General features: G+C 41.7%; 1 protein-coding gene and 1 long non-coding RNA gene across 7 annotated transcripts in view, besides 11 other annotated features; both read right to left on the bottom strand.

The window, feature by feature from the left end:
* Window positions 1-20,730, bottom strand: part of PTPRG (protein tyrosine phosphatase receptor type G) — a 736,039-nt gene that overhangs the window by 591,692 nt on the left and 123,617 nt on the right. The window lies entirely within an intron of this gene.
* Window positions 184-911: an enhancer, noted in NCBI's record as "H3K27ac-H3K4me1 hESC enhancer chr3:61690681-61691408 (GRCh37/hg19 assembly coordinates)". NCBI's record gives its function as "activates a minimal SCP1, AML or CMV promoter by ChIP-STARR-seq in primed H9 embryonic stem cells {active_cell/tissue: H9 hESC(primed)}" and the evidence as "EXISTENCE:reporter gene assay evidence [ECO:0000049][PMID:30033119]".
* Window positions 912-1,639: an enhancer, noted in NCBI's record as "H3K27ac-H3K4me1 hESC enhancer chr3:61689953-61690680 (GRCh37/hg19 assembly coordinates)". NCBI's record gives its function as "activates a minimal SCP1, AML or CMV promoter by ChIP-STARR-seq in primed H9 embryonic stem cells {active_cell/tissue: H9 hESC(primed)}" and the evidence as "EXISTENCE:reporter gene assay evidence [ECO:0000049][PMID:30033119]".
* Window positions 3,859-4,753: an enhancer, noted in NCBI's record as "NANOG-H3K27ac-H3K4me1 hESC enhancer chr3:61686839-61687733 (GRCh37/hg19 assembly coordinates)". NCBI's record gives its function as "activates a minimal SCP1, AML or CMV promoter by ChIP-STARR-seq in naive H9 embryonic stem cells {active_cell/tissue: H9 hESC(naive)}" and the evidence as "EXISTENCE:reporter gene assay evidence [ECO:0000049][PMID:30033119]".
* Window positions 5,649-6,544: an enhancer, noted in NCBI's record as "OCT4-NANOG-H3K27ac hESC enhancer chr3:61685048-61685943 (GRCh37/hg19 assembly coordinates)". NCBI's record gives its function as "activates a minimal SCP1, AML or CMV promoter by ChIP-STARR-seq in naive and primed H9 embryonic stem cells {active_cell/tissue: H9 hESC(naive and primed)}" and the evidence as "EXISTENCE:reporter gene assay evidence [ECO:0000049][PMID:30033119]".
* Window positions 10,199-10,699: an enhancer, noted in NCBI's record as "H3K4me1 hESC enhancer chr3:61680893-61681393 (GRCh37/hg19 assembly coordinates)". NCBI's record gives its function as "activates a minimal SCP1, AML or CMV promoter by ChIP-STARR-seq in primed H9 embryonic stem cells {active_cell/tissue: H9 hESC(primed)}" and the evidence as "EXISTENCE:reporter gene assay evidence [ECO:0000049][PMID:30033119]".
* Window positions 12,119-12,667: an enhancer, noted in NCBI's record as "H3K27ac-H3K4me1 hESC enhancer chr3:61678925-61679473 (GRCh37/hg19 assembly coordinates)". NCBI's record gives its function as "activates a minimal SCP1, AML or CMV promoter by ChIP-STARR-seq in primed H9 embryonic stem cells {active_cell/tissue: H9 hESC(primed)}" and the evidence as "EXISTENCE:reporter gene assay evidence [ECO:0000049][PMID:30033119]".
* Window positions 12,767-13,267: an enhancer, noted in NCBI's record as "OCT4-NANOG-H3K27ac hESC enhancer chr3:61678325-61678825 (GRCh37/hg19 assembly coordinates)". NCBI's record gives its function as "activates a minimal SCP1, AML or CMV promoter by ChIP-STARR-seq in naive H9 embryonic stem cells {active_cell/tissue: H9 hESC(naive)}" and the evidence as "EXISTENCE:reporter gene assay evidence [ECO:0000049][PMID:30033119]".
* Window positions 13,268-13,768: an enhancer, noted in NCBI's record as "OCT4-NANOG-H3K27ac hESC enhancer chr3:61677824-61678324 (GRCh37/hg19 assembly coordinates)". NCBI's record gives its function as "activates a minimal SCP1, AML or CMV promoter by ChIP-STARR-seq in naive and primed H9 embryonic stem cells {active_cell/tissue: H9 hESC(naive and primed)}" and the evidence as "EXISTENCE:reporter gene assay evidence [ECO:0000049][PMID:30033119]".
* The window catches only part of LOC124906245 (uncharacterized), a 32,384-nt gene continuing 25,687 nt past the window's right edge, over window positions 14,034-20,730 (bottom strand). The window contains exons 1-2 of the long non-coding RNA XR_007095942.1: window positions 16,234-20,730; window positions 14,034-15,852 (exon numbers count right to left, since the gene is read on the bottom strand). The exon at window positions 16,234-20,730 is cut by the window's right edge and continues 25,687 nt beyond it. This is a non-coding gene — a long non-coding RNA (uncharacterized LOC124906245). The remainder of the gene's footprint in view (window positions 15,853-16,233) is intronic.
* Window positions 15,036-15,575: an enhancer, noted in NCBI's record as "H3K27ac-H3K4me1 hESC enhancer chr3:61676017-61676556 (GRCh37/hg19 assembly coordinates)". NCBI's record gives its function as "activates a minimal SCP1, AML or CMV promoter by ChIP-STARR-seq in naive H9 embryonic stem cells {active_cell/tissue: H9 hESC(naive)}" and the evidence as "EXISTENCE:reporter gene assay evidence [ECO:0000049][PMID:30033119]".
* Window positions 17,148-17,781: an enhancer, noted in NCBI's record as "OCT4-NANOG-H3K27ac hESC enhancer chr3:61673811-61674444 (GRCh37/hg19 assembly coordinates)". NCBI's record gives its function as "activates a minimal SCP1, AML or CMV promoter by ChIP-STARR-seq in naive and primed H9 embryonic stem cells {active_cell/tissue: H9 hESC(naive and primed)}" and the evidence as "EXISTENCE:reporter gene assay evidence [ECO:0000049][PMID:30033119]".
* Window positions 19,315-20,050: an enhancer, noted in NCBI's record as "H3K4me1 hESC enhancer chr3:61671542-61672277 (GRCh37/hg19 assembly coordinates)". NCBI's record gives its function as "activates a minimal SCP1, AML or CMV promoter by ChIP-STARR-seq in primed H9 embryonic stem cells {active_cell/tissue: H9 hESC(primed)}" and the evidence as "EXISTENCE:reporter gene assay evidence [ECO:0000049][PMID:30033119]".

The raw sequence follows: 20,730 nt of genomic DNA, 5'->3' as shown, positions 1-20,730 counted from the left end.
TTGTGTATTGCTACAATCTTCAGCCACTTCAGGAAAGGTCAAAAGCAAAAGATAAAAAGGAAGAATTGAAGATGGGTGCCATTGAAGAGGGCACCTCACGGCCTCTGCTCAAGCATCAGTCCTCCCCAAGAATGATGAATACGGGGTACCACTGTTCATTAATTCAGTCATCTAAGCAGTAATAAGCATTTAATCCCTACTATGTGCAGTGAAACAAATGGACCAGCCTATGATGACATCGTTCCCGGGTCCTGGTAAAATAACCAAGAATAAGGCCCATAACACCTGATTCATTTAACATCAATGACTCTTCTTTATTGCACAGTTATACACCTCCTACTCCTTTGGTGACAAAGCATCCTTTCTTTGATGCGGTGATGGCGACAGTAAATAGTATTTTTTTTTTCTTTAAACATCTCTATTGGACAAACTTAAAAGTTATTTAGCTACTTTACAGCAGGCCTCCAGTTTTAAACTGGTCCACAAAATCCAAAGCCTGAAACCCCTGACAAAATAGCAGCCTTGAGCAAATAATGGAGAATAAAAGAAGAATCAGAATCTACCCATTCTCCCACCCTCCAACTCCCTCTCCCAACAAACAAAACCCATCAGATACTGGTATTCTGCTCCCTGCTTTCCAAGTGCCTTTTCAGAACTGTAATTTCCACTTGTTCCTCACACCCAGCGCAGGCATCTTCACTAACTTAATTTCAACTCTCAGGTGCCCCAAGAGCCCCTTCGTGGTGGATGCCTATGGGGTATGTGGTCATTAACAGGTGATAAGCAAATACCTGGGGCTCAGCCACCCAAAGCTCTTCAGTGCATGTGTTTTTTTATCCCAGGCAGCTAAGCTCACTGTCCAGCACCTGTGTTCACACCTCTAGCAGGCTGGGGTTCTCCCAGGAGCTGCCTGGCTTTAACATGATTTAACAGGTCTGCTCTCAGCAAGGACCTACTTGCAGGAAGCCAGGGAAGCTGAGCTGCAAATGAGCAGGTAGCAGAAACTGTCAAATTGCAAGGGCCAGGGGCGGGGGCCAGGCAGAAGCTACTGTTCTTCAGGAAGGTGGTGGCTATTAATCCTATCTGAACAAATGCAGTTCATCTCAGAAAGTATATCAATAATTCAGTAAGCAGGGGAATGGGAACAAACAGACCTTTGCTACCAGGGCTTTGTTAGCTTTCTATTTTTGTTTCCATCAGTGGGGCACTAGGCAGGGAATTATGGCTTTCTCAGAGGAGTTTTTCTTTAAGGCAACAGCCACCAGGTGTTTTTACCATAGCATTTAGAAGAGAATTTAACATAAGACTAGTGGCTCTCAAAGTCAAGGTGGGGTGGGTGGGGGGTGATTTTGCCCCTCCAGGGGACATCTGGCAATACCTGGAGACATTTTTTATTACCACACTGGAGCTATCTAGTGAACAGAGGCCAAACTGACACAAATTTGTATTTGTTTTTCAAAGAAGAGGGTCATCCAACAGATTACCAAGAAAAGGTGAAGAATCCTTGATGTAATCCTATGCTCCCCATTTTACAAATGCTTAACACCCTACAATGCACAGCAATTATCTGGCCCAAAGTGTCCAATAGTGCCCAAGCCAAGAAACCCTGCATGGACTCATTTAAAGCTCCAACAATCCTAAATGGTAGGTACAGTTACTATACCCTTTTTACAGCTGGACAAACTGAAGTACAGTTTTTAGTAACTGGCCCACAAAAACCTGGCCGTCTACCTCCAGAACTTGGCCTCCCAGACAACCAATTTGTGCCTCTCCTTATATACTACCTGGCCTTGCAGACAACCAATTTGTGCCTCTCCTCTCCATAGTAATTCACCAAATCAGATCCTATCCCTACTGTAAATCCTATGGGGGTAGAGCTGGAGTATGACTTGTTTACCTCTCTACCCTCACAGCACAAGGCTGCCCAGAGTGGCAGTCCACAAAGATAAGTTATTTAAAGTGTGATCAATAGTATATCCAGCTCACTTTTGTTGCAGGTAGACCATGGAGTATCATTTTCATTTTAGCTACAATGCTATATATTGCCGTCCAGAACAATAAACCTGGTATAATAAAAGACTTCTCCAAAATGCAGAGAGCTGAACTTTCATTAATAATAGAATTGGGAATTTCCTTTATAATTAAGAAATCACGAGCTAACAGGTATCAACAAGCCCATATGAAATGGGTTTGAAATTTACACAGATTTGTGTTTGTTTTTCAAAGGAGAGGGTCATCCATCAGATTACCAAGAAAAGGTGAAGTTTCACTGATACAATCCTATGCCCCCCACTTTACAAATGAGCGAGGCAGGAGAAACTAAGTGGCCTTCCCAAGGCCATACAGCCAGTTAGCACCAAGGGAGCATGAAAAGATACAGCATCAACTCCCCCAGCCCTGTGGAATGCCTTAGAAATACCATTTTTGGTTTCCAAATCTGGATCACTCCACCATTAATGCCCATACTACGAAATAAAGCCAAAAGAGAAAAAATGTCAGCCTAGTTGACACAGCTACTCTCTCAAAACCAATCTTATGAAATTTGACATTACTGTAACTGATTTCTTTACAACCCTTTCGGCTAAATCAATACTGATAAGATGCATTCTTCTGATGTCCTTTATCTATTTTCCAGAAAGGCATCAGTCGGAAAATGATAGGCAGTTTAATGGTGTGGCACCTATATAAGTGGGGCAAACACAAGCTGCTAAGAACCATCTTAAAGTGCCAGTCCACTGAACTTTCATACAGGGGGAAAAAAAAAAAAAAGATTCAACTTCCTTACCTGGGGAGAAATACAGGCTTTAAAATTACAGGCAGCAGCAGAGGGTAGTGGTAACGAGCCAAGGCTCTGCCTATAGAGAATCAAGGTTCAAATGCAAATTCTGCACCCACCGTATGAATTACATTTAACCTTATCCCTTATGGTAGGCACCAGAGGGAACTGCATACAAATGTGCACCAACAGGCATTTACAAGATTGCTCTTTACAGCTTTACTCATGAAAGCCTAAAACTAGAAAGAACTCAAAAGGTCTAACAAGAAGAAAACTGGCAAACTGTTGTATAGTTGTATAATCAATAACTAAAGAGTAAGTACCGCACAACATCACGTGTGAATTTCATAGACATTATGTTGAGCAAAAGCAGACAGACCCAAAAGAGTTCCCTAAGTTATGTGGGCAAATCTATCTGTATGGTGAGTGGAAATACAATAGTGGTTACCTGGTGGGGGGTTGGGAAAAATGACAGATGTGCCTGGAATGCTAGAAAGTATTCCATCTTGATCTGCAAGGCAGCCACTCAGGTGAAAGCAGTAACACACCTATAGAAACACACTGAGCCACATACTTCAGATTTGTACAATTTACTGTGCCTGTGTGTGTGTGTACACGTGTGTATAAACGTTTTAACTCAAACTAAATTTTTTTAATTGTTTAATGAAAAGTTTTGTAAAAATGTAACTCTCCCTAAGAGGGACTTACAGTCAGTTACTTTATTTCCTGGGCCTCAAAATCCTCTTCTCTAAAATGAAGAAAGTAACAGTTCCTATTCTCAGCATGTTAGGGTCAATATTTTAAAAGGTAAGGATGGGTAAAGTCTTAGCAGGATGCATCAAAGCACACAGGCTACTATTCATGGCCAGACGCGGTGGCTCACGCCTGTAATCCCAGCACTTTGGGAGGCCGAGGTGGGTAGATCACTTGAGGCCAGCAGTTCAAGAACAGCCTGGCCAACATGGCAAAACCCTGTCTCTCCTAAAAATACAAACATTATCCAGGTGTGGTGGTGCTCGCCTATACTCCTAGCTACCCCAGAGGCTGAGGCAGGAGAATCACTTGAACCCAGAAGGCTGAGGTTGCAGTGAGCCGAGATCGCGCCACTGCACTCCAGCCTGGGCAACAGAGTGAGACCCTGTCTCAAAAAATAAAGAAAAGAAAGCACACAGGCTACTTTTTTCCTTTTTTCTTTCCTTCCTTCCTCCTTCCTCCCTCTCCTTCCTCTTTCTCTTCCCTCTCTCTCTCTTTTTTAGACAGGGCTTGGCTCTGTCACCCAGGCTGAGTACAGTGGCACTCCCTTCAGTCTCGACCTCCTGGGGGCTCAACTGATCCTCCCACCTCAGCTTCCTGAGTAGCTCAGATGACAGTCACGTGACACGACACCTGGATAATTTTTTTATTTTTAGTAGAGGTGAGGTTTCGCCATGTTGCCAGGCTGGTCCTGAACTCTTGGGCTCAAGGGATCCACCCACCTTGGCCTCCCAAACTACTGGGATCACAGGTGTGAGCCACTGTGCCCAGCCTTCAATTATTTCTATCACCATCATTATTATAACAATTGTTAGAAATGTTTCTGCACTCACTTCTTTTCATTATTATACTGTAGAAAAATTAGTCACTAAATATGGGTTTTTTCCTCTTCTGCCTTTATGCAAAAAGTTTTCAAATATTACTATTATAATCATATGAAAGTAGAGATGAAACATAAATAAGAAAATGTGACCCGAGCCTCCTCAAACTCATAGCTACCAGAGATCTGAAAATTAAACAGCACTAGCCCAGCAGCATCCTGTGCCTTGCATCCAACATGATATTGAGGAGTTGTCAGATACCTTGTTAGCAGTGGGTGCAAATGTGAGAAGTATCACACAGCTATTCTGCATGTTCTGACAAGACCATGAGGAAACACAGTCCCCAAAGAATCAGAGAGCTCAGCATGCAACCTAATTAATCACCACAGGAAAAAGCCCATATGGTGTGATGGTGGACTACTCCGTGAAAACACAAGAAGAAATATGCAGCTAGCCTTAAACAGAACAAAGGGGCAAGCAAGGAGGGCAGGGAGATTGAGGGCAACTATTAAAGCTCCCACTGCATAGGTTTCCAGAAAACCAGGAGTCTTTCCCTCCTAGACTGTCTTCACTTCCTTGCTAGTTGCTGGGATTCCTTACATGATAGGGCCTTTTGACCCGGATAGGGGCAAAGCTTACAGGTGTAGCTTTAATGACAGGGATGCACATTTGTTTCTATCAGAGTGGGTAGGATGTTTTACATGTATTTCCTGTGTAGTATAAAAGTAACAGATGTAATAAATGGGAAAGGGATGTATACCCAGAATGAAAATGACAGAGCTGAACATGAGTGTGAAAAAAATAGGGGAATTTTTCCTTCTACATTCAGAAGAGAAAACCCAAAATGTGAATATTCTGGAACAAGGCTAAAATTGTTTCCTTGACATTGCTGTTGTTTTTGAGAAGCCCTGGAGTTGAGCCTCCCAAAACAGTCAAGTTCACTTCACCATCTTCCAAATACATACTCATATCTTCACTGAAGTATCACGGCTGGAAGAGGTAAATTAAACAGAAATATGTTATAATGGGTAATAAAAGTAGGCAACCAGGGAATTCACTGAGCCCAATTTAGTTATAAATTTCCTTTAAAGTTAAGCTAAATATAAAGAAAAGGCAATTAGGTACAAGCTTTTAGTACTGTGCTGAATTACTTTAATATTCATTTCTATCTAGTCAGGACTGTGAGAAATCTTACTGTGGAACATTCTCAGCTTATTTGCAGCTTTATCCCCCAATCTATTTACTTGCAGGTATCAAAGAAGAAAACAGATCTGGATGAAATAATTTTGCCTTTATGAGAAAAATCTCACATATATAGGTTCATATGAGGATCCCACAGCATCGTTCTAGCAATGTGAGAGTTGACTTATTTCTTGGTTGAAAAGCCAAGTTTTAGCAGCATATGGCAATCCTTAGGGGGTACAGAGAAGAATAAGGAGACTTTGGGCATGAAACCTCCTCAGATTTTCAGAGCCACCCATTTACTATATAAGGATCAATTCCAAGAGGACCACACAGACCCCCTCACCACTGCCAAGAACCCAGAATCCCAGATATCACTGACCTAAACTTGAAGGGCCCTCAAAACTTAAGTAGGAAATATTTGTTCTTGAAAACCCTCTAGAAAACTTATTTCAAAAGCAGCCACTCTGAGGTTGAGTCTCCTTTTGTATTTAACCTTATTATCTTGAAGCTTTTCAAGTGTTTCAGTTTTATGCAAATCATTCTTTTAGGCTTCTTTGTCATCACAGGCATTTTCCTGCTCTGAAGCTAGCTTCTTTTGTTCCCTTTTACTCCAATGAATTCAGACTATCTCCTGGCTTTTGTTTCTCCACAGTAGTAAAACTCTATTGTGATGCAGCAGCAGACAATTCAAGCCAAGGTGACAATCATTTCAGAAAATAAAGCAAACCTGCTTTCATAAACACCTACCACATGACTAAATATGCCTTCTACAGCAGGGGGAAGGAACAGACACTGAAATGTTCACTTTTAGCTCAGAAAAAAAGATGACAAAGAAACTCTCAATAATAGGTAAAAGCAGCTGCCATTTACAAGGTAATACTTAATTTCCCTTAATGATGTCTGTAGGACATAGATTCTCAAACTGTGGTCCAAAGACCCCTGTGGGTCCCCAAGATACTTTCAGGAGGTGCAAGGGAGTTTTCAGGAGACAATATGACTTATAATATCACAACAGATTGAATGCAAAAGCAGTTAGGAGAATCCAGCTGTCTTCTGCTGAGGCAGACATTAAAAAGATTTGCAAAAGTATAAAGCAATGCCACTCTTCCAACTAAAATTTGTTTTGAAAAATAATTTTTTTTTTCCTACGGCCATACCACCCTGAACGCGCCCGATCTCATCTGAAAAATAATTTTTTTTAATTTTGTTATTATTACACTTTAAGTTTTAGGGTACATGTGCACAACATGCAGGTTTGTTACATATGTATACATGTGCCATGTTGCTGTGCTGCACCCATTAACTCGTGATTTAACATTAGGTGTATCTCCTAATGCTATCCCTCCCCGCTCCCCCCACCCCACAGCAGTCCCTGGTGTGTGATGTTCCCCTTCCTGTGTCCATGTGTTCTCATTGTTCAATTTCCCACCTATGAGTGAGAGCATGCAGTGTTTGGTTTTTTGTCCTTGCGATAGTTTGCTGAGAATGATGGTTTCCAGTTTCATCCATGTCCCTACAAAGGACATGAACTCATCATTTTTTATGGCTGCATAGTATTCCATGGTGTATATGTGCCACATATATTCTTTTATAAAAATGTGTTATTTATGTTAACATGCTATGGTTGTATTAGTTATTTAAAATGAATTAAGTTTTTTTAATTTGTCAGTTAAAATTTTTAGAACAGTAAATATCCACAGATATGATCCACATAAACAAAACCTCTTTCAGGTCCTATTCAATAATTCTTAAGAGTATAAAGGAGATCTGAAATTAAAAGGTTTCAGAACCACTGCTACGTAAGGATTAGCCAACTATGTCCCATGGGCCAAATCTATCCTGCCTGGTTTTGTAAGTAAGGCTGTATTGACACACACAGCTACAGTGGTTCACATACTATCTTCAGGCCAAATCCAGCCTGCCTGTTTATGTAAATAAAGTTTTATTGGAACAAAGCCACACCCATTCACTTATGCATTATCTATGTCTGCTTGCCTGCTACAAGGGCAGTGTTGAATAGTTTTGACAGACAAGGTATGACCTGCAAAGCCTAAAACATGTTCTATGTGGCCCTTTCCAGAAAAAAATGATGATGATGATAAGCAACATTAACTGACTATCTCTTATGTGCCATGGAGACTTTATATCAAATTGTAGGGAAAAAGAAATCTCTTTCCTTCCCAACCTAAGTTCATGGTTGAGGCCCCTATAACAAAAGGCAGATTAACAAGAGAAAAGCATAGATATTTATTTAATGTAAGTTTTATGTGACACGGGAAGCTTCATTTGGAAATGAAGACTCTAAGAAATAGGTAACCTTATGTATTTTTATGCCTATGTTTGATGAAGAATGAAGAGTCACGGAGAAATACAATTACAGGATAAAAGAATATGGTCTAATGGGAATAAACGCAGGGGAAATTAGCAAGGACTGTTTGTTCAAATTCTTCTTGGTGTTGTAGGGATAAAAAGAATTTTCCCTCTCCCTCTGAATGTTTATGTGTGCTCAAACTGACAACAGACAGAATAACAGGCATAAGTACAGGAGTCATGCAAAATATGAGACTCAAAGAAGGGCCAAATGGTTGAGGCGTAACTACCCTTTTCATAGGGGAAAGGGAAGTGGGGGGCTGTGGGCAATTTTGAAGGAGCAATAAATGATTTTTAGGGGGGAATGAATGAGCCCAAAGGACAGACAATAGCTTATAAGTGATTCTTTGGAAACTGAATGGGACTGAATACTGGAAGGTAAGGAGCAGAACTGCACTGTTACCAAAGGTTATCTTATTATGCAGATAAAGTCTTCCAGGTAATCCCTCAAAGCTGCCTTCAGAAGAAAAGATGAAAAACATGTCTGGGCATGGTGACTACTTTTAGTCTTTTCTCTTCTCTGATGGTTAATCGTGCCTGGTTATTTAATGAGACTTCTAAGACCATTGCATTTATTTTGTAAGAAGCTTTCTAAGTCAGATATGGGGAATTCCAGAGAGACCCTGGGGGACGAAGGGAGTACAACAGAAAGTTCCCAAATCCTTGCTTCTGGGGCAGTTGTGAAGCCCTTCCAATTTTCTTTAATTCAAAAGTACTCAGCATGCCGAAGTATGAGACTTCGGAGTATTGTTCTCTGAGCCCCAACAGCATCTCTCTGACCTCAGTGATAAGGATGCCTCTTTTCTCAGGGTAGAGGGAGGCGCCTCTGGAATGAGGGTCTTAGGACCTACTTCAGTGAAGAAAAGCAGGAGAAAGCCAGAGAGTGGCCCTCCTAGGTTTTATAACCTGCCTCAGGGGAGAAGGGTCAGGGAAGGTAAAAGTGACCTTTCTGCTTCTGCTGTTTTCTCAAATTCCAAGGTGCCATATTTTGGAGTAGTATGTCCTGAATTCCATCAAAATCAATCTTCCCAATAACTAACTCCAGGAGAGAGACTCTGTCATCATCCCCACTGAGTAGAGGAAAAATTTAAAGCTCAGAAAGTTTAAAAGACTTTCAGGTCACAAGACCGTTATCAGTGGAGAAGGCAATATTTAAACCCCAGTCTGACTCGAAGATCAACCATCACCAGATTGAAGCATGAAAAATACGTATGGTAAGTTATCATAGCTCCTTGTGGCAGTCTACCCTACACTGGCTAAAGCCAGAAAAGGGATTTCTCCATTGAAAAAAGCTAGGGCTCTAGTCGCTTCCCCGGCAAAGACTAATTCTCAGATCCGGTTACCTGCTCCTCCATGCACCTACCCACTGAAGTACCCAGCCAGTATGAATACAAAAGAAAGTGTATTCATGTAGTCCATCAGTCCATCAGTGAGAAAGGATTATAAAACCAAATGTGGGCTCACATTGCAAATAAGCATGTGGCTAGAATTTGTTTGTTTGTTTGTTTTTGAGACGGAATCCCACTCTTGTCGCCCAGGATGGAGTGCAATGGTGTGATCTCAGCTCAATGCAACCTTCGCCTCCTGGGTTCAAGCAATTCTCTTGCCTCAGCCTCCCAAGTAGCTGGGATTACAGGCGCCTGCCACCACACCTGGCTAATTTTTGTATTTTTAGTAGAGACAGGGTTTCCCCATGTTGGTCAGACCGGTCTCGAACTCCTGGCCTCAGGCGAACCACGCACCTCAGCCACTCACAGTGCTAGGATTATAGGCGTGAGTCACCGCGCCCGGCCTGGCTAGAATTTTTTAATAGATATGTACTCGTATCAATTTGCAACAACAACAAAATAGCACAAACATACAAGCATTGGGGGAATTTTGGGGTACTACAAGTGCATGGAAGAACCGCATTTTTGGTTTGTTCTCATAACAACACCCTCAAAGTCTTCATTTTAAGAACATGTAGTTACATCCCAATCAGCTCAACCTCATGTTGACTGTGCCACAGAATGTTGTCAAAACACATCCTTAAATCCCTATCTCACTCCATCCCTCTTGCCAACATACTCATTCACTCATTCTAACATTTTTGAACTAGGGATGTATTTATTAACATTAATGTATATTTAGTATATAGTATACAGTAGTGTTTTAATCTCAAAATTGATTAATTCTGTACATCATATAATTAGCATCCTTGATTCGAACTATTGTTCACTTGGCAAAAACAATAAAATTAAAACCAAACAAACATAAAACTTGAACTACACCACTGCAACCTGGAACATGTCATACTAGCTGTAGAACTCATCATATCTTCAACGGAAATGTATGACATTTTTAAAAATCTTGTGAATAGTCAAAAATCAAAAAACAAAATAAAATCAAATCAAGCCAAACTGTAAAATCCCGAATTAATTCCTAAAATGCCGAGGTGTATGAAGTTGGACCCTGCAAGGGACTGGATATCAGAGGTAGAAAGGGAACAGAAATCCTTTAGTCAACGGAACTTGTTCTCATAGAGAGAAAATTGAGACCTAGAAACTACTACATTAAGCCTTTCAGGACCCTACCCATAACCCTAACCAATGGTGGTCCACCCATTTCAATGCTCTTAAGACATCAGGAGCCTCAAGCCAATGCAGGAACTCCTATTTCCAAATTTTGAAAAAATGGAGGACCTTGCAATAAAAAGCCAAACACGCCAGGCGCGGTGGCTCACACTTGTAATCCCAGCACTTTGGAAGGCCAAGGTGGGTGGATCACCCGAGGTCGGGAGTTCGAGACCAGCCTTGGCAACATGGTGAAATCCTGTCTCTCCTAAAAATACAAAAATTAACTGGGCGTGGTAGCAGGCGCCTGTAATCCCAGCTACTCAGGAGGCTGAGGCAGGAGAATCACTTGAACCCGGGAGGCGGAGGTTGCAGTGAGCCACTATCGCGCCATTGCACTCCAGCCTGGATGACAAGAGCAAAACTCTGTCTCAAAAAAAAAAAGAAAAAGAAAAAAAGCCAAACAGTTCAAAAGAGTACGCAGTGAAAAGTAGGTCTCCTCCCCAGAAGCTACTTTTGGTAACAGTTCTTCCATATCCTTCCAAAGACAGTATGTGTGAGTGAATGAGAGAGAGTGAGGGTGAGAGTGAGAGAGAGAGAATGAGAATGAATAGCATGTTCCTCACTCCCACAATCTTAAACAGAACACCGTACAAATTCTGCACATAGCCTCTTTTCACTCAGTATATAGATGGAAAATCATTCTAAATCAATACATGCAGAGCTTCCTTTCTTATAAATGGCTACATCGTGCCCCACTGCACAAATATATCACAATTTGAAATTCCCTAATTATGGATATCTAGGATGTTTTAAGTTTCATGCTATTCCAATCGTTGCTGCAATAACTATCTTAGTACATAAACCTTGGTAGAGATATGCAGTTTTTCCATGGGATAATTTCTCAGAAGTGGGATCACTGAGTCAGAAAGTATGCGTATTTTTACTTTCTGTGGAAACCGACAGGTTCTCAACCAGATGCATGTTCGTACTGACACAGTTGCAGTCTAGGAGTAGGTAGGTAATAGAGTACTTTTATTCATACCCATACCAGTTTGGTATTTTATCAAACATTTTGATCTTCGCCAATCAACATGAGATAGTGTTACCTCACTGTGGTTTTAACTATGTAAGGGACTTTTTAAAAATCTTTTTCTTAATGTCTTTAAAAGACCCAAGGCCCTTCATGAACTGGCCTCTTGCCTGTCTACCTTATTCCAGTTCTGTCTCTGTTAGAGAGTTAGTCATTCCCTAAAGAATTAATTGGCATTTTTGCACCCACGTCTTAGCATGCATTCTTCCCTGTATTCAAAATGCTGTTCCCTGTCTCTGAAATGGCATGGTAGATCCTCAAGCCCAGCTGGTTCATCCCCTACTCAACTCATTAACATCACCTACTTTTTAAAGCCTTGCTTCCCTCTCTCTCTCTCTCTCTTTTTTTTTTTTTTTTTTGGAGATGGAGTCTCACTGTGTCACCCAGGCTGGAGTGCAGTATCGTGATCTCGGCTCACTGTAACCTCTGCCTCCTGGGTTCAAGCGATTCTCCTGCCTCAGCCTCCCGAGTAGCTGGGACTACAAGCGCCCGCTGCCATGCCTGGCTAATTTTTTTATATTTTTAGTAGAGACGGGGTTTCACTGTGTTGCCCAGGATGGTCTCGAACTCCTGAGCTCAGGCAATCTGCCCACCTCAGCCTCCAAACATGCTGCAATTATAGGCGTGAGCCGCTGCACCCGGCCTAAAGCCTTGCTTCTCTTAATTCCTCTCCACACACAAGCCTGGAGTCAGATTTCAATACGTCTTCATCTTCTCCCTCCCCAGCCCTGAACACACACACCTTGTGCACCTTTATTCTGCAGCAGATTATGCCTGCCTCTTACTGGAGTATCTGAGCACACCTTTCAAGGGCAAGAACTTAACCCTCCCTGGGTACTCCTCAGCACCAAGTCCAGCCCCCTAATAGGCAGAAAATGTCTGCTGAATCTACTGGAAACTGGCTGACAGACACTATTGATAAGAACATGTATTCAATTATGACACATTACCTATGCATTTAACCATGAGAGTTCAGAATATATTAGAAAAAAGGAATATCGTGCCAAGTTCACGGACACCTCATGGGTAATAAGTAGAAGCATCTGAATTTTCTCTTACATAAAATATATTATTTCCCATCACAAAACCTAATGGGAACATAAAAGTCATTTATTCTAACAAGTTTTGGACGGGTATTAAATTCATAATTTCTCATATATTAATCATTTATACATCTCGCTAAATAGTTGTACCTTAATATGATGCCTACCTCACCATAAAACTGAGACATCTGATATAATGAATGGGCAAATTGTACTTTTAATATTCTTCCATTGTTAATCTTTTTTTCATTTTTATTCCAAGGAATAGCAACCAATTAATAATAAAGTTCTTAGTTTCATATCTTATCCAATTGCTATAAAAACAACTGTTACTAATAGGGCTGGGAAGACCCTGAAGAAGAAAATGTACAACATACCAAAAAAAGCTTAATAGGTGCATGTACAGAAGTAGCCAACTTTTGTCATGAATCTTTCAATTCTGCTCATTTCTGTCAGGCCTATGAGCCCAAGCTAAGCCATCATATCCCCTGTGACCTGCACGTACACATCCAGATGGCCGGTTCCTGCCTTAACTGATGACATTCCACCACAAAAGAAATGAAAATGGCCTGTTCCTGCCTTAACTGATGACATTATCTTGTGAAATTCCTTCTCCTGGCTCATCCTGGCTCAAAAGCTCCCCTACTGAGCACCTTGTGACCCCCACTCTTGCCTGCCAGAGAACAACCCCCGTTTTTCCTTTACCTACCCAAATCCTATAAAACGGCCCCACCCCTACCTCGCCTCGCTGACTCTCTTTTCGGACTCAGCCCGCCTGTACCCAGGTGAAATAAACAGCCTTGCTGCTCACACAAAGCCTGTTTGGTGGTCTCTTCACACGGACGCGCATGAAAATTTCCAAACTGTAAAATGTAGTAATAGCAGCTAATATCTACCAAACAACATGTGCCACAACCTGTAACTTACATCAATTTTGTACACTATTTCATTTAATACATCAACTCTATGGAGTTAAGTAATTTTATTATTTACATTTTATAGCTGAAAAACCCCAGCTCAAAGTTGAATGCAAGGATGTATTGCTACTAAGTTGTGCCATGGAGATTTGAACTCTGGTTTGTCCAATTCTACTGGGCATCCAAACAAAAGGAATGCTATTTGCAACTTACGTGCAACATAAAACTCTTCATCAAACCATTAACTAACACCACACCTATTGAAGGGCAGCTGAATCCTTAAGGAGAAAACTCTGCGTAGGAGCAGAAGAAAATTCATTATGTATCATATACTATTCACTGCTTAGCACTGGAATGTACTCAAAAATTAATAAAAGTAAAAAATGTATCATGAAATACTCATTCTTCATTCTACTTGCCTTATATACTCTCTGCAACCGAAAATGTATTTGTCTTCGACCCGTGTGTGATGTAAACATCCCCTTTTTATCCTCCCAGCAATAAATTGTTAATGAATCCAAGGTTAAATGTAAGTCCTCTTTATTTAACATGATTATACTGTGCCTCTCAGACCTTAGGAAAGCCCCATATGCTTTTTATGATATTAAAATTTTACTGAAATACTTGATGCTACCATCTGTTCTTGGTGAGAACCAAAATGGTGGCCCCAGGGAAAGCACTGTTGCATTACTAACGTTGCTGGGATATTTTCCAAAATTTGTTTATCCATAGTGTATAAATATTTCTCATTGTATGAGATCAGGACAATACACAGATGTACACAAAACGCAATGGTCACCCTCTGTCCACTTCCCCCTAGTGTTGCCTGAAGGAACACAGTTTGATTCATACCATTTTAGTCATTTTTCTAAGCAATTACACAGACACACACAGAGATATACATACATATTTAGGATGGTCCTGATCCTCATATATATGAAGCACAAATAGGATCACACTCCATTTTGCACATTGTTCTGCAACTTGTTTTTTGTTTGTTTGAGACAGGGTCTCCCTCTGTCTCCCAGGCTGGAGTGCAGTGGTGTGATCACAACTCACTGTAGCCTTTATGTCCTGGGCTTAAGCGATCCTCTTGTATCAGCCTCCAGAGTAGATGGGACTACAGGTATGTGCCACCACACCCAGCTAATTATTTTTGTAGAGATGGGGTCTCTCTATGTTGCCCAGGGTGGTCTCAAACTCCTGGGTTCAAGCAATCCTCCCACTTCAGCCTCTCAAAGTGCTGGGACTAAAGGCATGAGGCACTGTGCCCAAACTGCAACTTGTTTTAAAGTCACCCAACCACATCTTAAACATTTTTCCATGTCATATATACATAGACTTACACTTGAGGGTGCCTAATATTCCACATTGATGGCGTGCCATATTTTATTTCCTCTATTGAAGGATTCTGTGGTTTTATTTTGTCTATGTAAAAACATAGCAATTCACCCCAAAATCAATCATTCTCTGAGCAGTCTCATCTCAGAGATGTAAAAGAAACAGTAATGTACCTTTCAAGGAAGACAGCTCTGAGATCTAAAATTGTCTAGCATTGACTGTATCATCTATTAATTTCCTTGAAAAAAAAAAATCACTCTCTAGCAAAAGCCTGACACAAGCCCAAAAACCAAAAAGCTTTGTTTCTGGCTAAATACTTTGAAGGGCATTTCAAAGAGAAGAGGAGTCACTACCAGAAACCATCTGAGTGAACAGTTTTCTCTTAGGATGTGGAATCCATAAATGGCACAATCCTGGCCTTGATGTGTGATGACGGAGAAGGAGGATGGACGAATCTATCCCTTCATGGACCTTCAGAGCAAAAACACAATGAGTGTTTTAGTGACTTAAGCTTAAACAGTTAGTTGTGGTGAATGTTTGTTTAACCTGTCTTCCACTCTTTGCAGTAATTCCTCCACTTTGCATGTATCAGACGTCCAGGTGATGAAAAACAAGGCAGACAGGGTCCTGAGACAGCCGTTGTATTTAATACGTCCCTATCAAGCATCAAGCAATTGCCATTTATCCTGGAGAAAAGCAGCAAGTGAGCCACCCTGCAACAAACACCCAGAAAGGGATCTGATGCTGTTCCTTAGGGGGTCTTTGCCATCTCACACTTGCTCCCTTCCTGGGCTTAGTGGCCTTGAAGAACCAGGAGGCCTCTGCATTTCCAAGAAGTGATAGTGACAAACTGCATTCCAGGCCATCTGCCGCATGCAATGAAAGCTGGTGATATTGTCGTAACAAGTAAAGTCCATTGTCGGTTGCGGATAATGCCAGAAGGAAGTCTGGCATCACCAAACCCAGGGGATGGTTGAGACAGTGTCCAAAGAAAAAGGAAGCTGAAGAATAGCATGGGAAAAACAATGAGACTTGTTAGAATGTATGGCCCTTGCTGATGGTCCTTCCAATGGAGTATGCTTTCATTCAGAAGCAATTGAGAGGAACACTATTTCTAACCCCACTAAAACTTTCTAGCTAGAAAATCTTCAGAACACAAACTGAGATTTCCAAAATGCGTCTAGTAGGAAATAAATGGAATCAGGTTAAAACTTCAATTTATCTGATCAACTAATTTTTATGATGGGATAAGAACACTGCAAAATGAGATAGATTTCTTCTATTTTGTCATCATTTGCATACTAGTTTCTCCCCCTCCATTTTTGGGGAGAATTACTCACCACCAATAAATATAAAGACTAGAAATCCAAATGCTACCTTACCTGGGATATGAAGAAATTACCCTGAGAGAAAAAGATCTGATGCAATTCACACTTGCCCTTGCCACTTCAGCTTCAGTGCCTCAATTTCCAAGGTCCTCAGCATCCTACAACAGAAATTAAATCTTCCCACATAAGCAGCCACATAGCCCTCTCACTGTTTCTTAGTTTCAGCTGCCATAGCAGAGAGTAATGGCCTATGTATTTATTTGAGGTGCTTGCTCAAGACTCTGTTCCCTCCAAAGTGAAATTCATACATGCCACACAGTCTACATTTTAAGTCAGACAATCATAAATATGCATCCAGTTTTATTGAAAATTCTTCTAGACTTTTTGCTAAGACCCAGTAAAGAAATTATCTTGTTTTGTGTGTAAACGTGTGAATGTATACACATAGCTTCAACCATTACAGATGATGATAGGGAAGCAGTTATAGGAATCACTCTCCAAAACAGGTAATTCCAATAGCCAAATCACTTCTGGCTGGTGTTAGGGATCTTTGCTAAGCAGCTTCAAATATGAATTGCAATATGTTTTTCTTAGGCCAATAGTAAATACAATTTTCATTCCTAGAGCATAAAGTCCAGAGTGATGGATTATTACAGTAAAAACAGTCCTCAAATGGCAGTCAGAATGCCTGGGCTAAGTAAGGCCTGTTTCGCCAGCACTGGCTGCTTAACCAAGTGCAGTCGTACCACCAAACTTCCTCAGCCTCTGCCCTCTCTGTCAAGTTAAAGGGCACGCCAGACATGTTAGGATATTTTCCCTGATGCATTGAGAAGCAGGGCAGGACAGTTCAAGAATATGGCAAGTCAGCCAAGGTCAAGCCGCCCTATCTAAGCTTCTTCTACTGACAAGGCTCACACAAGGCAACCCAGAAAAAGGAAGCTGGGATATGGCAATGTTTACCATTTACTAGGCAATGACCCAGAAACAGGCAAAGGACACAGAATTTAAAGCAGCAGCTGACAAGGGTACTGACTATTGAATTTTGCAAACATAAGCGTTAAGTCCTTTGGTATGGAAAACACTAGCGGGTGGTGGGGATACTGGCTCCTTTCTTTCACTCTGACTTGCCTGCATCCTGCTCAGTGAGGAGCCCGATTTGCCTGCTCCAATCCACCAGAGAGCCCCAGAACAGAGGAAAATGCGAAGAGCCTTCCCCGCCGTGCAACTAATCACCGACAAAGCTTGAGACCTGCTGCCACAGCTGGTGGCCTCTGAGTCTCTGGAAAGATGGAGGCGACTGAGAAAAGAGAGCCTCTGATGAGCTCCTGCTTTATTCTAGCTCCGATGCCTCAAAAAACTCCAGCTGGGATGACAAATGCCAGGATACAGAGTCTAGGCTGGCCCGTGGGGAGCTGTTTCCTCCGCTAGTCAGCATGCAGCCTTTTTTTGACTTGAGGTCCGAAACAATTCTCCAGGGCAACACCTGGCTAAATCCTGGTCCTTGCCTAATACCCTGTAAATAATATAAATCTGGCTGGAAACATGGATTAGTCCAGGAAATGTCTCTCTGTCTCTCTCTGTCGAAGAGTGACAGGACAGTTCTGGCAACACACCTTCCCTGACAACCACCTCAACAGAGCCAAGGTCATGAAAGTGATGTCAGCCACACTCAGGAAGGCCAGATGCCCTCAGAAGAAGGGGCTGAATGGGGACATCTCCAAATCAAGTAATTATCGAATTTTGCTAAGAAACTTGGAAAAGCTGGGTACGCGATTCCTTTTCTAGAAACATGTCTGAGCTTCCCAAACCCCTATGAACATAATGGCATGTGATTAAATTGTCCTATTCTGTTAGCCTTTTTAGCAGACATGGAAACAAAAAAAAGTCATAATCCTACTATAAAACTGTCATATTCTGAGGGCTATTTAACAAATGGATTTCCCAAAAAGGAGCAGGTATTGCTGCACATTTTACACACCACCCCCACAAATGTTTAAGTGAATGCAAACTGGCATGTAAAGAATTTGTCTAATGTGTTAATAAAAAGATTTCCATGATCAACAAAGCCACAAAGCCTTACTTAAAATATAATTCACACTTTCCTAACTTCTCATTCTTTTTCATACTTTTGTATAAATTTAAAAACTCCTTTTTTTGTTTTCTTTTCACTGCAGTGATTTGGTTTGAAAAGAATAAAAAATATCAACTGGAAACTTCAAGAGGGTCCCAAAGCCATGTTTAGCCAGATCAAGTCAGGCCAGGTCTCTTAATGTACAGCCCCAAAGTCCATTTACGGCCTTGACAAAGGTGGAGTCCCTAGTAGGACTGCCGGGAAGAATCATTAACCAGTGTTGTATGAATACATGCTGGCTATTACCCTGAACAGGGCTAGTGCAGCACACATGCTCTCCACTGCTTATCTGAATCTATGGGCACCCACCAGGGTGGATGGCTAAGGACCAACTTGAGGTGTCACTGAAGGCCCCCTAAAGAAAATTCCAAATAAGCCAGATAATAAGATGTTTAAGTCAAACCATTCCAAACATTTCCTTCAAATCTGGTGAAGATTTCCTACGTCTTTTCCTGTCAGCTGGAAGTGAACAGATACTTGGTTTCATTTCAGGGTAGGTATTGTCTAACTGGTAAGCTCTACCTGATCTCTTTGCTAGTCCCAGTGGTCAACGGTTGATGCATTTTTGGTTGGCTGGTTTTGGGGATGTCTTTATTAAATTTAATTTTCTGAACTGATAATGTATGTATATATTCTATAAATCAAAGTCAAAGTATAAAAACATGGACTCCTTATCTCACCTCTTCCCCATACCTCTCAAGACAACACCAACCATTAATACCATGATGCTAAAGATAATCCTGTATGTGTCCCATAAAAAAAGTAGCTTTAACTAAATACCGTTGTACGCCCTGCTTTTCCCCCACCTGATTAACAAGGCTATCTAGGGAAATAGAGATTTCGATATACAGACAAACATATGTATCTGTTCATAGGGCAATGCTTCTCTGATTGTAACATCTGCACATATGCCATTATTTAGCATAGTATAATTTATTAAAACAGCCCCTATTAATGGGCTGTCAGGTTATTTCCAATCCTTTCAAAATCCAAACACTGATGCAAGGAATAACCTTGACATGAGTCATTTTGCACTGTGGCCAAGTACATCTGTGGGGCACACACCTGGGGGCAGAGTTTCCTGATCCAAGGGTATAGGCAAATCTAACTGTGATGGACATGGCCCAGTCGCCTTCACAGAAGCTGTGCTCATTTAAAGTCCCCAATAGTGACGTCTAAGACCACTCATTTCCCCCAGTCTCACCAACTACTCACGGCACAGGCCAGTTCTAACATGAACCCTGGCACAGAGAACAATGGTAAGTATCAGAGGGCTAGTATGGGCCAAATTCTCTTTGCATTCATTCCCTAGCTCCAGCTCTATCTGTCACATGACAGCAGAGCCATTAAGTTGACAGGCTTAGTGGGCAGAAAGAGCTGAGGTCCCATCTCTGCCACTCCTGAGGTAAGTGGTCCTAGAGAACCTTAATATTTAAGTTCTCTAACACTCAGTTTCCTTACCCATCAAGTGGACATGCATGCATCTCGGTACTAAAACAAATGTAAACAAGTCCCTCCCCACGCAAGACCACGGGAATGAGGTAACGAGCACCAAGTGCTCCTCACGGTGCAGGGTCCTGGCAGATGCTTTGCAAATGTTCAGAAGCACGGCGCTCCCACTCATACCCCAACAAGCGGTAACTAATCTTTCCAAGCTCAAAAGAGAACACGGCAATAAGAAATCTGACACCATTATATGCCAGGTTGCCAGGAAATGCCCTCTCCTGTGCTCCTCAATGTGCCAGCAGTCAATTACACTGACAAAGGCCACACTCTAGGGGCAGAGACTAACAGGATACATTTTCATTACCTTTTTATTATAGTTGATGATAAAATGCTGTGTAGGAAATAAACTACATGTGACAGAAGTAAGACAGAATAGGGACCCCAACACAGATAGTGGAGGTATCTCTAGCTAGCCCTAGCAGGGGTACAACTTGGAGCTCCCTTCAGCAAAGAACTTGCTACTCAGCTGCAAAGAACCTTCAGGTTCCAAGCAGCTTTTGTGTCAAGGCAAAGCTCTTCCCCAGCCAAGGGCTGCAAGGAGTCAGGGGTACTACTGGGGTCTGCCTGTTTCTGTCCACTATGGCAGATCTGCAGCACATTCTGAGATTCTCCCTGTCCAATCCTGCTTCTTCCCTTTACTTCTGCTACAGGCACTAACCCCCAATGAATTCCTTGCACTGCTAACTCAGTATCTGCATCCCTGAGGTAGTCAGATCCCTATTGGGACCATCAAGGACACTCTTAATTTTAACCAACCCTCTTCTCCTCCCTGGTCAGACTTCCTTTCTAACCAAACTAACTTGCCCTCCACGATAAGGCATTTGATGTCTTCCTTCTCCATCAGTGCGCCTGTTTGCACAGGCCAGTTTCCTTGTCTTGAACTCTTCCTGCCTCCACTGATAATTCCAAATTCT

Source organism: Homo sapiens, chromosome 3 (assembly GCF_000001405.40).
Source record: "Homo sapiens chromosome 3, GRCh38.p14 Primary Assembly".
NCBI classification, from domain to species: Eukaryota; Metazoa; Chordata; class Mammalia; order Primates; family Hominidae; genus Homo; species Homo sapiens.
Note: the sequence above shows the minus strand (reverse complement) of the source record. Positions and strands in the feature narration are given on the sequence as shown.